This window comes from Homo sapiens, chromosome 8, assembly GCF_000001405.40.
Source record: "Homo sapiens chromosome 8, GRCh38.p14 Primary Assembly".
Taxonomy (NCBI): domain Eukaryota; kingdom Metazoa; phylum Chordata; class Mammalia; order Primates; family Hominidae; genus Homo; species Homo sapiens.
The window spans coordinates 28,034,340-28,052,888 of record NC_000008.11 but is presented as its reverse complement, the minus strand read 5'-3'; the positions used below and the strand labels follow the sequence as shown (position 1 = coordinate 28,052,888).

Here is an 18,549-nt window from a genome sequence, read left to right as displayed (position 1 = left end):
CCTTTCGATGTAACGGCCTGGAAAATGCTGACCTTTCAATGCTGAATCATAACATAATCTTTTAAAAGACATATTAAATGGCAGTTAAGTAATGCACACAACTCATTAGAAGGAAGGGCAATGTGAACAGCTGTGACCAAGTTCACCCATGTGCAGTGTATGAACCTCCTAAGCACCACAGCTGGGTAGCTTGGAACGACAGAAAATTATTATCTCCCAGTTCTGGAGGCTGGAAGTCCAAAATCAAGGTATTAGCAGCGCCATGCTCCCTCTGAAACTGCAGGAAGGATCTGGTACAGTTCTGTCTGCTTGCTTCTGGTAATTCCTGGCTTGTGGCAGCACAACTCCAGTCTTCATATGCCATTCTCCTCATGTGTGTGTCTCTGTATCCAAATTTCCCCTTTTTTTAAAGACACCAGTCATTGGATTAGGGGCCCACCCTACTCCATTATGACTTCATCTTAATACATTTCATCCTCAATGACCCAATTTCCATATAAGGTCACATTTTTAGGTAGTGGAGATTAGGACCTCAACATGTGAATTTTGGAGGGGGATACATTTCAGCCCATAACACACAGGCAGTGACAACCACCTTGTGACTGCCACCTGGCCTGCAGCAGTTGCAAGATGCACCTCAATTTCAAAAATATTAAACGGGGAAACAATGTGCCTCTTAGTATTGATAAGCTGTAGTCACATATCAGCTGAAGTTAAGTGGTTGAAGATTGGGGATCACAATGTAGTTATGGATTTGAGTTACTAGTTTGAGATTCAAGGCTGAGACACAGGCACATAGATCCTTCCAAGATGCCTGATTTGGGCCCCATCCTATAGTAACGAGGCTTTCTAGCTCCACATCTTTTCTTACTACCTGGTATGTTATGGTTCACTTGACCTTCCCTTAAATTTTGCCTTGACCCAGTTTGGTTTTTTTTGTTTGTTTTTGTTTTTGTTTTGTTTTGTTTTGTTTTGTTTCGCTCCTGTTGCCCAGGCTGGAGTGCAATGGCGCTATCTTGGCTCACCGCAACCTCCGCCTCCTGGGTTCAAGCAATTCTCCTGCCTCAGCCTCCCAAGTAGCTGGGATTACAGGCATGGGCCACCAGGCCCAGCTAATTTTGTACTTTTAGTAGAGACGGGGTTTCTCCATGCTGGTCAGGCTGGTCTCAAACTCCCGACCTCAGGTGATCTGCCCTCAGCCTCTCAAAGTGCTGGGATTACAGGCATGAGCCAATGCACCTGGCCGCCTTGGCTCAGTTTTTACTATAAACTGTCACACGACTTTTTATTTTAACCTAATTCACAAAGTTTTACTGCCTGATTTGACCTGACAGGATTTTTGTGCCCCTACTAAGACTGTTAATATTCTTTTATATGTTAGGTAAACTTTTAGGACTTGCCCAAGTGGAATTTACAGACTGAATTTTGACAGTCTCAGGCATATATTGTTTGAGGTGGTTAATGCCTTTACTTTAACATACCTTATTTTATTTACTCAGTTTTAGGATCATAATGAGCTCATAGCTTTTCACAGAACTATTGTGTTCATTCTGATGCTCAATGTGTCACTTTTTGGCCAGTGGGAACCCTTTAAGCTGACTCCCTTTAGCATTACTCCCTTTAGCATTTAAAAAACATTCTTGCTGTCTAGCTACAACAAGATATTCAGGTTCACTTTATTTTTCCCTGCCCCAAGATATGGAACAACTACTCCCCAGGAATCTGGGGTTTCTTTTAGCGAGAATAACATTAAAAATAATAATTGGGCCAGGAGCAGTGGCTCACACCTGTAATCTCAGCACTTTGGGAGGCCGAGGTGGGAGGATCGTATGAGGCCAGGAGTTCAAGACCAGCTAGGGCAACATAGCAAGACCCCCATCTCTAACAACAGCAAAAAAAGAGTGCTAGGGGCTCAGATCAAATTATTTCATACAAGTAAGACAGTGGCAGAGTGACATCACTGCAACATAATTTTCATGACAAAGCTAGAAAAGGTGGATTTAAAAAATGAGTCATGATTTATGTCACTGATTTCAGGTAGATTTTTAAAAATCAGGTCATGATTTTTTTTTTTTTTTGAGACGGAGCCTGGCTCTGTTGCCCAGGCTAGAATGCAGTGGCACAATGTTGGCTCACTGCAACCTCTGCCTCCTGGGTTCAAGTGATTCTCCTGCCTCAGTCTCCCAGGTAGCTGGGATTACAGGCATGCGCCACCACAACTGGCTAATTTTTGTAGTTTTAGTGAAGACAGGGTTTCACCATATTGGCCAGGCTGGTCTCGAACTCCTGACCTCAGGTGACCCACCTGTCTCAGCCTCCCAAAGTACTAGGATTACAGGCATGAGCCACCTCACCCAGCTGGGTCATGATTGATATTACTGGTTTCAGTGTAACTCCAACTTTACTATATCCTTTCTGATTCTGCTTCCATTGAATAACCCTTCTGTTTTCTTTCTTCCTTTCCTTTCCTTTCCTTTCTTTTCCTTTCCTTTTTTCTTTTTTTTTAACAGAGTTTTGTTCTTGTTGCCCAGGCTGGAATGTAATGGCACGATCTTGGCTTACCACAATATCTGCCTCCCTGGTTCAAGCGATTCTCCTGCCTCAGCCTCCCGAGTAGCTGGGATTACAGGCACTCACCACCATGCCTGGCTAATTTTGTATTTTTAGTAGAGACGGGGTTTCTCCATGTTGATCAGGCTGGTCTCAAACTCCAGACCTCCGGTGATTTGCCCGCCTCGGCCTCCCGAAGTGCTGGGATTACAGGCATGAGCCACCGTGCCCGGCCTTTTATTTAATTTTTTTAAGATAGTGTCTTCCTTTGTTGTCCTGGCTGGAGTTCAATGGCGTGATCATGGCTCACTGCAGCCTCTGCTTCCCAGGCTCAAGGAATTCTCCTGCTTCAGCCTCCCGAGTAGTTGGGACTACAGGCGTGTGCCTCCATGCCCGACTAATTTTTTGTATTTTTAGTAGAGACGGGGTTTCACCATGTTGGCTAGGCTGGTCCTGAATTCCTGAGCTTAGGCAATCCACCTGCCTCGGCTTCCCAAAGTGCTGGGATTACAGGTGTGAGCCACCACACCTAGCCTCCCTTCTGGTTTGAGCTTCCACGTTTTCTCCTCTCTCACATACAACATCTTTTTACAAACTTTAATATATTGTGTTACGTTTTATTATGACAAGCCATGTGTTTAAATTAGAACAGTGTGTAATGTTTCTGTTGCATAATTTAATGAATATCTACTAACATCTTGGATCCTACCTCTAGCTGTAGCTGTTTCTACTTCTCTTTTACAATAATATGAACCCTTTATACTAGAGTCACTTCACTGACACTATAAAAACATTTCTTTTTACTACAATAAAAAGCATAAATGTTAACTAATCTTCAGTAATTTTTAGAAAAGTTATACAAGATTTAGGTCCAGATTTTAAATAATGCAAACATCTGGACACAGCTAAGCACATGCCTTTCTTGGAACTGTTTTAAAACTCTACTTAAACTTAATTCTACATTAATTTCATCTCCCAGTAGAAAATAGTTTCAGCTTTCCCTAAACTTTTTCCTAGAGTGAAAACTCAATCAAAGCAAAATCTCAGCAGATAGATTCTTTTTGCAACTTCAGCTCACTCTATAAGGGGGTTGGTGGGGGTGGGCTTCTGGCAGTCTGCACAGATATCCGTATTCCAGCCTTAACTACACGTGCTTATAGCTTGCCAGGGACACGGCTTCTCACCAGTCCCAGTGGACTGCAAGGCGTCTACTCACTCAGCTCTTTATATCTTTGCATCAGAAAGAGATTGACAACTCTTCACTGCTTTCTACCTCCCTCAAATACCCACACACGCACATGCACATTCTATAGGTGAATGTTTTTCTCTTTTTTTTTAAGTAAGAAGAATGAAAGAATATGTAATGCTATTTCTATATGATTCTAGTATGACTTCTCCACGACACTGTTTTTCTAAGCACAAAAAAAGACTCCCTCAAATAATTCTTAATTGCTTGACTTTTTTTTTTTTTTTTTTTTGAGATGGAATCTCTCTGTCACCCAGGCTGGAGTGCAGTGGCATGATCTTGGCTCATTGCAACCTCTACCTCCCGGGTTCAAACAATTCTCTTGTCTCAGCCTCCCGAGTAGCTGCGACTACAAGTGCGCACCACCATGCCTGGCTAATTTTTGTATTTTTTAGTAGAGATGGGGTTTCACCATATTGGCCAGGCTGGTCTCGAACTCCTGACCTTGTGATCCGCCTGCCTTGGCCTCCCAAAGTGCTAGGATTACAGGTGTGAACCACCGCACCCAGACTAATGTTTCAACATTAGTCTGCATTAAAATGTGTATGATTACTCACTAACTACTTAAGAAACTGTCACTTTTCTAGGACCTTAGCCAGGTTTGTGTTGCGTTGCGCTTGTAAATGTTTAACAACTAGCTCTTTGTTTAAAAACAAAAAAATCCCCCAAAACAAACAAACAAACAAAAAACCCAAAAGGCTGATGTGTACCATTTGCCAATTCCTGTGGTGTAAATAGGAGTTAGTGGGGATTGGGACCTCAACATTTGAATTTTGGAGGGGGATACATTTCAGCCCATAACACGCAGGCAGTGACAACCACCTTGTGATTGTCACCTGGTCTATAGCAGTTGCAAGATGCATCTCAATTTCAGAAATCTTAAACAGGGAAATGATGTGCCTCTTAGTATTGATAAGCTGTGGTCACATGTCAGCTGGAATTATTTGGTTGAAGATTAGGGATCACAATGTGGTTATGGATTTGGGTTATCAGTTTGAGATTCAGGACTGAAACAGTCCCAACATTGTCAATTTCAAGCTACCAGTGTGACGTCACTGAATGCAGAGTAGGAAAGTGATGTGTGCTGTTGGCTTTCAGGAGCTGGTACGAGCTGGCTGCAGCACATCACTGCCTATTCCAGACATGTGTTTCTTTTTTGAGAAAGGATCCTGGTATTATTCCCCCTCTGAACATTTAAATACAACTTTGAATTATTTTCTCTACACATTTTCTTCTAGAATTGATATTAACTCCCAAGAGAATAGTTTCTATGCAGCAGTTTCCTCATAACTTCTGACCTTGTTAGGAGTGGACAGATGGCAACACCAGACATTGAGAACATTGTCTGTTCCCAGAGAGGGTCATGGAGAACTGAAAATGAGTGAGCTGAAATTGGCTGAAGGCTCTTGTGGGTCCTGTGCATGATTGCCTTTGCTATGGTTTGAGTTATTCTGTTTTCTGTGTGACTCTCTCACTTCAGAGAAAACTGCCAGCTGACTTCAAGGTTCTGGAAGCCTCAGATCTGGTGTATACAGTCAGCGCCCAGGAGTACTGGCAGCAGGCTCTCCTCACCGAGGAGGAAACGGGTAATTTATGTTTTTTAAATCTCCATCACTAAAATTCTCAAGATCAAGCTTGGCACTTCGAATTTCCTGCTCTAGAACTTTTTGTGCCACACAAACAATTTTTTTCCAGCTTGCCATGGTTTCAATACCAATTGCAAATAAGGATATTTTCCTCTCTGCATTGTTGTGGTGCCAGAGACCACAGTTCCTCTTGCCTCCAAATCTTACCATGGGTTGGTAAAGGTCAAATAATTGGGTTGCTGGGCGCAGTGGCTCACACCTGTAATTCCAGCACTTTGGGAGGCCAAAGTGGGTAGATCACCTGAGGTCAGGAGTATGAGAACAGCCTGACAAACATGGTGAAACCCCATCTCTACTAAAAATACAAAATTTGCCAGGCGTGGTGGTGCATGCCTATAATCTCAGCTACTTGGGAGGCTGAGGCAGGAGAATTGCTTGAACCCGGGAGGCAGAGGTTGCAGTGAGCCAAGATTGCGCCATTGCACTACAGCCTGGACAACAAGAGTGAAACTCTGTCTCAAAACACAACAACAAAAAAAGCCAGGCATGTTGGTTCATGCCTGTAATCCCAGCACTTTGGGAGGTCGAGGTGGGTTGATCCCCTAAGGTCAGGAGTTCAAGACCAACCTGACCAATATGGTGAAACCCCATTTCTACTAAAAAATACAAAAATTAGCCGGACGTGGTGGTGCCAGCTACTCGGGAGGCTAAGGCAGGAGAATTGCTTGAATCTGGGAGGTGGAGGTTGCAGTGAGCCGAGATCGCACCATTGAACTCCAGTCTGGGTGACAACAGTGGAACTTCGTCTCAAAAAAAAAAAAAAAAATTGGGTTATCATTTCCTTAGTCCCCTCCCACCCAGCTTCAGGCATTAGAATTGTTTCCTGAGTGACTATTGTATATTTTGTCTGTGAGGCAGTGAAAGCATAAGGCATGGCTCTTTCTTCACAGAACTTGAAATCTGGATGAGGAGCTAATACTAACCCAAATGCAAAAACTGAAGTAAAAATAAGGTTTAGTTGTTGCTGACCATGAGTGCAATAGAAGCCCGGGGAACCTAGAGCTCTGCGTGCGCTAGATACTCAGTGGAAAGTGGGTGGGCAGGCAGGGTCAGGACTGCATTCTCATCTGAACTTGATATGGCTTGCAACGTGCATGCATTTGACTAGACGTGTAGGTATGTGAATGGAGGTTAAGGAGCAGAAGGTGTGAAATGTTCCCAGAGATGGGGGAACTGCTTGATTAAGGGTATAAAAGACAAAATTAGCATGGTATATGGAAGGAATAATATAGAGAAATTGACACATATGGGAATAATGGGGAAAAGGGTAGAGTGGCATCTATTATCTTCTGACAGACAATGGGTTAGGATGTGACAGGAATCCTGTCACATCTAGAATCCTGCATGTCAGAGGTTCTTGTTCCTTTCTACAGCAAGCATGGGCTATTCTGGTGTTAAGGGTTAGTTGATATAGGTAGAAAAGTCTAGGGGGACTGAAGGGCTGGGACTCTAGAATTCCGAGCACTTTGGTTTACCTCTGCAGGTGATAGCTGTTCAAAGGAAAGAGCCCATGTTTTCAACTAGCCTGTACTTTTCCATGTAGTTTTTTTAATACGGCTAAATAAAATGAATATGCAGTATTGCTGATCTACCATTCATCACTGTCATTGATCCTAGACATGGGAAAAGTGCTTTTCAGAAAGGTTGGTTCTGTAGGCATCCAGCCCACTTGGGATCTCAACTCTACTTCATTCATATCGCCACCTTGGTCTTTCAACTTTTATGAATTCTATTGACCACAAACTTCTGGCCTTTAACAATTATTTGTGCTGCCTGTGAATTCCAGAAATCCCTAAGTTAAGAGAATACATCAGGAAGAGCCTCTTGGACAAGAAGAAGAGGACAGTGACCAAGTATGTGACTGAAGCCTTTGGCCTGTTGCTCCTCACAGATAGTTTCAACTCCACGCAAAACCTGCCGGTATGGAAGACACTGGGTTTTCATATTCTCCCCCTTCCTGGGCAGGACATTTCCTTTTACCAAGTTAGAAAATTAACTTATGATATTTTTTCTTTTCATATTAAAGGAAGATATGAAGTTCAGTGAGTCTAAAAGGACAAAAAGATAATTAGAGGGTTAAAATCATAACATTTGGGTAAAAGAGAAAGGAGTAATATTTTACCTGGGACAGATGGGCTGAGAGAAAAATGTCAAAATAGTAGCTATTTTCCAACTCTCCTGAGACTCGAACAAGGTGGAATGTGTTTAAGCGATGGCAGGCGTGATTTGGCTTGCTTCTAGTGGAATATAGACACTTCTTGGTTACCCTGGAGAGGCGTGTTTATGTATACAGTCCAAAAATATTTCATCTGTCTCTGGTGCTGTCAGAATCTCAAGCTCAGAAGAGCACAGGAAAATAATGTGAGAGGATGGAAGCTTGGAGGGAATTTCAGTAGAGTTTCAATAGTTATCTTCACTGGCAAGAATGCAGGCCTTCTGAAAAAGTAGTTAAAATTACTTTTCTCATAGTAATTGACATATTTATCTCTTTCATGGATGGTTTCTTTTTAACCCTAAAATAAGAGGGATAAGCTGCTAGATTAGAGACTTGGGGGGTTTTGGAGAAAAACCTCTTACTGTCGTCAGTCACCAGCTGTGTTGTCTCCTTATGAGAGATAGAATATGCAAAGACAATTGCTGGACCGTGTGTAAAAATAGATCTCTGACCACAACCTGCAGCCACCTGCCCAGAAACCAACCTCTTATCTACAATAAACAGCCCAGGAAGCCTTCTGTCTGTAAGTCAGACTTCAGGAAGTCAAACTGCTATCTCTAATAACAACCCAGGAGGCTAAAGAATAACTCTGTAACAATCAGCACCAGATGGCCGGGACTTGATGAATAACTTCCCTAATCTCTGTTCCTGCTTCCAACTTACTACCAACCGGGAAAACCAAATGTCTATGCCTAACCAACCACATTGGCTGCTCTGCTTTTAGCTAGCCCGTCTTTAGTGTCCCCAGGCCAACAGCCTCCAATCAGGGCACCCCGAAGCCTTTCCTTTTGTCCACCATGAAGCTTTTCCACTCCCCTGCCTGCTTTTGAGTCTCTGCTGAACTCAAATGATGGTGGCTGACTCTGTTGCTGTAGTGAGCTGTGAATAAACAGCCTCTGCTTGTCCTCATTTGGTTGGTTTTCACTTATTTGCACACTTGCCTTCACCCGTCAGATGTGCACAGTCAAGATGTTTGTCTTCTTGTTATGCCGGAACAGGGAAGGGGTAGAGGAAGTACATGAATAGGGCTTTGTGAGTGGTCGAGGAGCTGGTCCTCACGATGGGGAAGGTGGGCCAATGATGACCCTGTGGGGTGGCAAGGGGAGGCAGACACTCGAGACCTGACTTCCATGTGGGAGTAAGCAGTGCCACCTGGAGCCTTTGGTTGTGTATAAATGCTTGTAAAAAGTCTTTAGTGGTGTGGGGTCTTTCTTCTGCATAAAAGGGGCATATAGAGCAAAATTCAATCTTTTTTAAATCTATTTCTTATGACTTGTTTTGGTCTAGTTGTACAAGACAAAAACAAAACAAAACTCTTGGAATCTGAGATTTTCTTATTTGACTTTGTCCGCTGAAATCGTTGGGGAAGGGTTTGACCTTCCAATTTCCCAAAACAGTTCTTCAGGGTGAAATTTGTCTCTTTGCCCAGCACAAGATTGCTTTTGGAAGTGCTGATGGAAAATGAATCCGATGTGGGCTGTGTGAGGTTGGTGTATTTTACAAACATTAGGACAAGGCATTTTGCCATCAAGGCCAGAAGTGCCCACCCCACGTGTTTTCTTTGCTAATATGGAAGTGCAGAGCTCAGAGGGGCTCAGATTCACCCTTGCAGCCAGACTCCAAGCAGTGGAAAACATAGAGGAGAAGGGGGCTGACTGGCAATTCTGCAATAGCTATGTTAGGGAGTTGCTGGCAACTTTGCTCAAAATTCCTTGGCCTTAGGTATTGGTCTTACTCTTAGCTCTTTGATAGAAAGTTGGAAGGCAAGAATTTGTCAGTTCCTTTGAATTCTGAAAAATCAAATCTAAATATGTGTGTGATTGATTTTTTTTCAAAGATGATCACTGAAACCAAAAATTTGGAGTTTGAGTAGTGATTTTAAATGAGCAATCATTATTTTTAAGAATCCATAGGAAGTTGAGGACCACATCTCAATGTCAAATGAAGTCTGCGTTTATTCATACTAAGTGCCAGCTTCTTTGTTTCTTATTGTTCTTTTATTCTCCGCTCTTCCCTTTCTTATCATTCTTTTGTTTATCCAACAAGGATTTATCGAGAGTGAGGCATTGTGAGAATCATGCCCATAGCTTTTCTTTCCATGACTTCTTTCTTCTTTCATTTTCATCACTGGTGACACCACAAATTCAAAAGAATCTAAAGGATGTCCTGGGAAAAATGCTTTGTAGAATTCTTAATGGTGAAAATGAGGGAAATTCCCGGGGTGCACCGAATGCTAAACAGTCTCCATAAACTCTAAAACGTATTTACTCCAAGATTCACAGCATTTTAGAGTGTGAGGTTGTTTTCAAGATCATTCAACCCAATTCACTTAAAGATGATACCGTTGAGAATCAGAGAAGTTAAATCACCTGTATCAGGTCACACATCGATTCGAGAGCTATTTCTGTCTATTTGAAATAGAATTTAAAAGCCCAAATTATCTCGCAGTTTCTCTGGGCCACTCGTTCAATCCACAAATGTCTATGGGTTTTGCTCTCTGTGCTGTGCCCTGGAATAAAAGAGCATGACTAAGAGCCTGCTCCTTTGGCAAGTTCCTATCCAGGGAAGAAGACACAGGGAACGAGAGAGATGTCATACGGCAGGAGGCAGGAGACGTGCTGTGGTGCAGGACTGTGGGAAGTGCAGTGGGAGCACAGGACAGAGAGCCCCACCTCTACCTGGGGACTCAGGGAAGGTGCCTCATGGGAAGGACCTTTGAGCTTTGTCTCCGAAGTAACAAAGATGAAATCAGCAAGGCCCAGAGGGCACAAGATTGACAGCATGTTTGGGGAATAGCAGCAAGTCCAGGGGTAGCTACTTGGCAGGATGTGTCAGGCAAACAGAGATGGTGGTGCTAGAGAGGTGGAGTGAGTTCTGGCTATGAGGTGCCTTAAAGGCCAAGCTGGGGAGTGTGGCTCTGACTGCTGCAGGCACTGTGGGGCCCACCAAGGTTCCCATGTGGGGAACAACACTATGAGTTCCCAGTCTGGAACTGTATTAGTCCATTTTCATGCTGCTGATAAAGACATACCCGAGACTGGGTAATTTATAGAGAAAATGAGGTTTAATGGACTCACAGTTCCATGTGCCTGGGGAGGCCTCACAATCATTGTGGGCAAAAGGCATGTCTTACATGGTGGCATGTTTTATAAGGTTTTATAAGGTTTCTCCTTATAAAACCATCAGATCTCATGAGACTCATTCACTACCATGAGAACAGTATGGGGAAAGCCAATCCCATGATTCAATTATCTCCCACCAGGTCCCCCCCACAACACGTGGAATTATGGGAGCTACAATTCAAAATGATATTTGGGTGGGTACACAGCAAACCATATCAGGCACCTAGGGGTCAAGGCTTTCTCTGGTGGTCACTTCCTTGTATTATTTGAATATATGTTTTCTCCCTGATTAGACTGTATTCTTTGAAGAAGGAAGCATGGATTTATTTTTGTGGTCCTGTAGCTTTGCTATGCAAAGTGTGGTCCATAGCTCGGAAGACCAGCATTACTTGAGGACTGGCTAGAAATGCAGAATCCCAGGACCTTGGATTTCAGATTTTAAGATCTCCTGTTGATTTGTATGCATGTTAAAATTTAAGAAGCATTATCCTTAAAAACTCCTTCGTGCAGAGTCCAAGCCCGTGAAATGTTTGTTGAATCAGATGTCATTGGAAAAATCTGTTTTAATAACAATTGGATTTCTATGTGGATAGCTACTTCCCCAAATAACCTGATGGATTACACAGCTGAAATAAGTTGCTGAATAAGCAGAGACTGTGATTTTTAAGAAATGAAATAAGTTGCACCAGGCAGGTATTTGTTCTATTCTCTAACCCCACAAAGCCTAAAGGGGTCTGTGCACTGAGTGAGGTCTTATGGGGACAATAAAGAGAAGTCAGCTCTGAGTGATAAGCTGAATCTTGAGCTGGTGACAAGCTTAAAGAAAGCAAAGCTTCAGGAGAAGGTGCCCTTAGGGAGGGGGTGGCCTGATTCTTTTATGGTCCTTGTCCCTAGAATGAACACTTGCACATGAGTGTCCTGCGGAGATTTGCGGAAGAGAAGGTTGAGCTGCTGGAGAAGGCCATCGCACAGTGCTTCGCCTGCATGGAGCAGCCTCTGCAAGAAGGGGTCAGGACCGCCAGGACTTCTTACCGCTGCATCCTCAGAGCATGCTTGGTGGTGAGTGACCCTTCCAGGGAAAACTCAGATATTCCAGGAGGCCTGCCCGATCCCCAAGCTTCTTTTGCATCATCCCATTCCCTTCAAAAGAGGTAAAGAGTTAGCGGGCCGGGCATGGCGGCTCATGCCTGTAATCCCAGCACTTTGGGAGGCCGAGGTGGGCGGATCACAAGGTCAGGAGATCAAGACCATCCTGGCCAACATGGTGAAACCCCGTCTCTACTAAAAATACAAAAATTAGCCAGGTGTGGTGGCGTGTGCCTGTCATCCCAGCTGCTCAGGAGGCTGAGGCAGGAGAATTGCTTGAACCAGGGAGGCGGAGATTGCAGTGAGCCGAGACTGCACTACTGCACTCCAGCCTGGCGAGAGAGTGAGACTCCATCTCAAAAAAAAAAACAAGAACAAAAAACAAAAAACAAAAAAAAAGAGCCAGAGGAGGTTAGGAGAGAGTGAAAATTGCACATAACAGTTGTTCATCTGTGTCTTGAAAGGACCAAGGAAGGTACACAGTTCAGCAAAGACAGAGTGGGAATCTGGGATCTGAGGGTCTTGGTTGGAGTACCAGCTCCACCAAACATCCACCTTGTAGCCCCGGGCAAAGCCCTAGACCCATTTTTTAAAAATTTATTGGTTTTCTACTATAAAATGAGGATGCTCAATGCTTGCCCTACCTATCTGGTAGTGTTGATATCAGTATCAATGAGCTTACACAATGAGGAAACATCTTGTAACCTCTCAATTGGCATACAAGTTGTGGTTTTATTTCTTAATTAGTTGTATAGAGTTTCTGAAGGATGAAAATGTAAGTGTAAGGCAGTATTTATCTAAGACTAAGGGGTGAAAAAAGAGGCCTATTGTATTAGTCTGCTTGGGCTGCCATAACAAAATCCTATAGACTGGGTGGCCTGAACCACAGACATCGATTTTCCCATAGTTCTGAAGGCTGAAAGTCCAAGATCAAGGTGTCAGCAGGGTGAGTTCTGAGGCCTCTCTCCTCTTCTGGAGAAGGTAGATGGCCACATTTTTGCTGCATCCTCACGTGGCCTCTTCACTGAGCACGCACACTCCTGGGATCTCTTTCTCTTCCCAGAAGGACACCACACCTGTCAGATCAGGGCCCCACCCTTATGACCCCATTTAACCTTAATTACCTCCTTACCAGCTGTGTCTCCAAACACAGTCACCCTGGTGGTTAGGGCTTCGCATGTGAACCTCAAGGGTCACACTTTAGTCCATAGCACCCATTAAGGGGAAGATGTGATGGACAACACTGTATGACTTGGTGTCCCCCCGTGCTGGGAGAAGTGCATGGATGGTCTGTGGTTGTAGTTTTTAGTGGGCCTTGGAAAGTTGGAATGTGAGCAGTGGAAAATGTGTGAAAAGGTGAGTGTGATGGGGTGGTTGGCTTCCTGGAGGCTTTTCTATGTGCACCGATGATACCGGCTTTCTAGCACCTGGCCTCTTCTGGGTGTTGTTATCTGTGTGCTTTGTGTAAAAGCTTGTTTAAATGTCTAGATGAGCCTGAGTGTGGTGGCTTGTGCCTGTATTCCCAGCACTTTGGGAGGCTGAGGTGGATGGATCACCTGAGGTCAGGAGTTTGAGACCAGCCTGGCCAACATGGTGAAACCCAGTCTCTACTAAAAATACAAAAACTAGTCGGGTGTGGTGGTGACACCTGTAATCGCAGCTACTGGGGAAGCTGAGACAGGAGAATCACTTGAACCTGAGAGGCAGAGCTTGCAGTGAGCTGAGATGGTGCCATTGCAGTCCAGCTGAGGTGACAGAGTGAGACTCCATCTCAAAAAAAAAAAAAAAATCTAGATAAGTAGATGCATGTGCTGCAATTTGGATGAAAGGAAAGGAGGAGATTCTCTAGCATAAGACAAAGAATAAATGCCGAAAGAACCAAGAGTAAAGGAGGAGATAAGTTGGGGTGATTCTGGGGTCACTGGGGAAAGTGTCAGTGTGTGGACACAGGAGGATGACAGCTGGAGTGTCTTCCATGCGGTTGGGCGTGGGTAGCCAAGTATCCATGTGTGTAGTATGTACGCATGCGTGCATTCAGTCAGCAAATGTGAGCAAAATGCTGACTGTGGAATCAGATACTGCACGTTACCTTATCCCATCCTCACAGCCATTCTGTGAGGCAAACACCCTTATTATTATTTTAATTTTACAGCCTTAGAGAGACTAAATACCTTTTCCATGGCCATGCATGGACTCCACATCTAACCCAGGCCGGCCTAACTTCATAATTTGACACCCAACTCCTGCTGCACTCACCTGTTGCGTCTCCTAAACTACTCAGCAAACGATTGCAGCAACTTGTATTTGCCAACCAGTTATATAGTTTAACATCTATAAATCCCCATAAAAGTAAATTTTGCTGCATTCATTCATTCATTCATTTCTGCATGTAACAAGGACTTTGGAATACAAGGCATGGTTGCCAAGAGGCTTCGTATCCCACATGGGCTCTGGTTCGTACCTCAGTTTCCCCATCTGCCAGCTATGTGACCGGGACAAGTTACTCAAACTCTCTGTGCCTCAGGTTCCTCTGTATAAATTGAGGACCACGGTACCTATGTTATAGGGTTGCCGTAAAGATAAGTTGAAAGAATGAACGTAAAGTGATAATGCTGGGTTGACCAACGCACTCAGCATAAAGAGAGTGTATAACAAATCAACTGTTTTTCTTATTAGTTTTCAGGGATAGAAAGATACATCCCTGCTCAGAAGAGTTAAGAGAGCATTTGGGGAACTATAATAAAAGGTAGCATGCTGGTGAGGACCACAAGACAGTCAGAAAGTTCTCCAAATGTTTAGAGAAGGGAGAGCATTCTGGTGGGGGCTGTGGCAGGCTGGAATCTTTTGGCTGCAAATCAGAGTCCCTAACTGAAGCCATTCTTAGCCATGAGGAAGTGTATTGGCCCACGTGCCCGAGAGCCAAGGGAAGAGAGGGCCTGGGGGATGAGCTGAATCCAGTGCCTCCATGGGCCCCATTCTCAGGCTGCTTCTCTCATGATGGCAAAATGGCTGCAGCTGTTCTTGCACTCACATCTGAACACCATGAGCTCTGGAGCAGGGTTTGTTAACCTCAGCATGATTGATATCTGGGACCGGATCATGCTTTGTTGTGAGGGGCTGTCCTGTGAATTGCAGGTTGTTTCATCCCTAGACTCTACCCCCTAGGTGCTGGTAGCAGCCCCCACTCTTCAGTTGTGACAAAATCACTCCCGGTTGAGAATCACTGGTCTAGAGGAACAGGGGGATAGCCATTTCCGGGCCTGCTTTCCGAAGAGTGAACTTTTTTTAGAAACCTCAGCAAAGCTCTCATGGTGTTTCTTTGGCTCTAAGTGGGTCACATGCCTATTTCTAAACCAATCCCTGAGAAAAGAGAATGCCTTGTGCTGAATAGCTCAGGCCTGTGTGTGTGTCCCATCCTGGAGGCAGGAGTAGAGTTCATTTTCTCCAGAAGAGAAGGACTAGGGAGGCAACAGTGAAGCAGGAGGGATGGATATTGGAAAAGAAATCGCAGGCCAGGTTAGAGGACAGTCCAATAAACCTTCTAGAGAGGAGGTTGTTGGAGCCTGGCCCTGGAGGCTGGTGGTGTGTCTTTGGGCAGAGGAGTGGAGGGGCAGGGAAGGCATTTCAGGGGAGGAAGGCCAGAGCTCATGTGGGAGCCAGAAGCTGCCATCTAACTGCAGTGCAAGTACACAGGGCAGAGTTTTGGGGGAATAGGCTGACAGTCAGCTTGCTGCAGACTTTAGACCAGGTTGAAGAGTTGGAACATAGTGAAGTTTTGAGCAGAATAGCTTCATCAGAACTAATGCTTTGGGAAGTGTAATGCTTGGGGAAAAACTGGACGCAGAGAGCCTGGTTAGGAGGTGTCAGGGTCTAACTGAGGTCTGAGGGGAGTTGGTGAGCGAGTGGCGGGTAGCTGGATAAACGAGGAATCGTAGACAGTTTTGACATGGCTTTACTCTTTCTCTGGGCATGAGCGAGCTGTATGTACAGCGTTAGCAGGGTAATTATACCGTCTGTAGACAATAGTGGTTCTGAGCCAAGCACAAGCTCATGTGGGTGATCCTCTAATGCACCTCATGTGGCGTGGTTACATAATGTGCAGGGTTGTGCACCTGTACTCCAAACCCGCTGAGTCATGATGCTCCAGAAGACCGCCTCGGCCTACTCCTGACTAAAGCGCAGCCATTTCCCTTACAGTAGGTGCTTTGTTAAGATGAGACATGGCAAGATCTCAACAAAGGTTGTGGCAGACAGAATAGGAAGGAAGAGGTGGCTAGAAGAGCAAATCTGAAGGACATCTCAATGAGGATTATCAATAGTTCAGACATGGGGAGATGTGGGAAAGCAAGGTGGCAACATTTTTGGGGAAGATTCGCATCCAAGAGAAAGCAAATTGCTTCAATTTAAAGAAGATCTAAGAAGATTTGGGAGGGAGGAGCTTATCCTTTGGTTGGGGAAGCAATATGTTCACAACTGAAGATTATGTATTTACTGTTTCATGGAGGTGGAATATCTAATACAGTGTTGGAAATATGGAACTGAAGCCTGGAGAGAGGTGGGGCTGGAGGATGTAGCTGTCACTTGCATGGAATTGATGCACATATACCAGTGAATGGGATTGAGGAGGAGTGGAGAGAAGGACAGTGATAGGATATCTCTTCATACAAAGGCCACATTAAGGAAGCAAAAGAATAAAGAGGGGCAGGGGAGGGGCAGAGAAGGAAAAGCCTGAGAGGTAGCAGAAGAAGGAAATCGTGTAATGCCTATTTTCTTATTTTTATGCTTATTTTTAGTGTAATGCTTAATTTCTTATTTTCCAACCAGAAAACTGAAGTAATAAAGTTTGTTAAGGCTGAGTGCAGTGGCTCATGCCTGTAATCCCAGCACTTTGGGAGGCTGAGGCAGAAGGATTGCTTGAGGCCAGGAGTTCAAGACCAACCAGGCAACATAGCAAGAACCTGTCTCTTAAAAAAAAAAGTTGGGCATGGTGGCATACCCCTGTAGTCCCAGCTTCTCAGGAAGCTGAGGCAGGAGGATCACCTGAGCCCAGGTGTTGGAGGCTGCAGTGAGCTATGGTCGTGCCACTGCACTCCAGCCTGGGTGACAGAGAGAGACCCTGTCTCTTAAAAAAGAAAAATAAAGTTCGTTAAGACGAATATCACATGCTCCTGAGAAGTAAAAAACAAACAAACAAACAAAAGCAAACCAGAGCCATTGGATTTGGCCATTGAGGGTTTCATTGGTGACTGTGCTAGGCAGCCACCACAGTGGCCCCAAGGGTCCTCACCTCTGGGTATTTATGCCCTCATGGAGTCTCCCCCACGTTGAATCAGGGCTGATTTCTGAGCAAGAGAATGCTGCAGAGGTGACAGTGTGTGGCTTCTGAGGCTAGGCCATCAAGGGCCATGGAAGTTTCCATGGTGGCTCTTGGGTCACTTTCTCAGGGGGACGCCTTTGTGTACTGAAATTGAGCCACTGTGTGCAGAGGTCACATGGAGAGCAGCTAAGGCCCCCGCCTGAGGCCAGGAGCCAGCACCAGCGAGCAGCCGGGTATCTTTGGAAGCAGATCCTCCAGCCTCACTCAGATGACTATGCCCCCAGCCACACCTGACCAAACCTCAGGAGAATCCTGAGCCAGAGTGGCCAGCCCAGCCATCCCAGTCCTGACCCACAGATCCCTGAGAGATGACAGGCGTTTACTGTTTGTTTTTAAGCCACTGCACCGCTATGTTCGGGGTAATTTGTTTCATAGCAATAGATAAAGAAGTGACCTTAGATAGAGCTGTTTCTATCCCATGATTGAAAAACCCAGATCACAGAAAGTGAATGAGTGAGTGGGGGCTGAGAGGACGAAGGCATGAGGCAGAGATCACCCTGTTGAGAGTTTGCTGTGAGCAGAAGAAGCAACTACAGACATTTTCGAGCGTCTCCAGGACTTTACCCCATCAACTGTCCCATCTCATCAGCCCTTTAATGACTTCTTCCTCTGTGACTACAAACATGCCCAAGGTGCTCCTATCAAATAAACAATGTATCTTTGAGATCAGAAATTTGGGAAGACAATTACATACTAACATCGTATCATTATTTAACATAGGAAAATAACCGAAATGTCTAAGAACAAGAGAGAGGTAAAATGAATTATTTTTCATCCATATGATACTATATTAAATGGTTATTAGTACAATTTTTGGACCTTTTTTTTTGAGTTGGAGTTTCGCTCTTGTTGCCCAGGCTGGAGTGCAGTGCTGCGATCTCGGCTCACTGCAACCTCTGCCTCCCAGGTTCAAGCAATTCTCCTGCCACAGCCTCCTGAGTAGCTGGGATTACAGGCATGTGCCACCATGCCTGGCTAATTTTTGTATTTTTAGTAGAGATGGGGGTTTCACCATGTTGGCCAGGATGGTCTTGAACTCCTGACCTCAGATGATCCACCTGCCTTGGCCTCCCGAAGTGCTGAGATTACCAGTATGAGCCACTGCATCTGGCCTGGAACATATTTACAATGATTTGGGGATATTCTCATGTTGTAATACTAAGTAAAAAGAGCAGAGAAAAAAGAGAGAATTATACCAATTGTACAATGCTATGTGGCCATTCCCTTAAAACGTATATCATTGATTAAAAAATCACAGAGCTCTCTACTGAAATTTTAGCAAACACATTTTTACTCTCTTTACTAAT

At 44.5% G+C, this 18,549-nt stretch overlaps 1 protein-coding gene across 5 annotated transcripts in view; it reads left to right on the top strand.

The window, feature by feature from the left end:
* The window catches only part of NUGGC (nuclear GTPase, germinal center associated), a 61,973-nt gene that overhangs the window by 31,048 nt on the left and 12,376 nt on the right, over positions 1-18,549 (top strand). For 4 of the 5 annotated variants that reach the window (NM_001010906.2, XM_011544523.3, XM_011544524.4 and 1 more), the window contains 3 exons: positions 5,277-5,382; positions 7,229-7,362; positions 11,674-11,838. In NM_001010906.2, coding sequence (NP_001010906.1) covers positions 5,277-5,382; positions 7,229-7,362; positions 11,674-11,838 — 405 coding nt within the window. Of the gene's footprint in view, positions 1-5,276; positions 5,383-7,228; positions 7,363-11,673; positions 11,839-18,549 lie in introns of those variants that run through there. The other variant, XM_017013403.2, reaches the window with a different exon arrangement.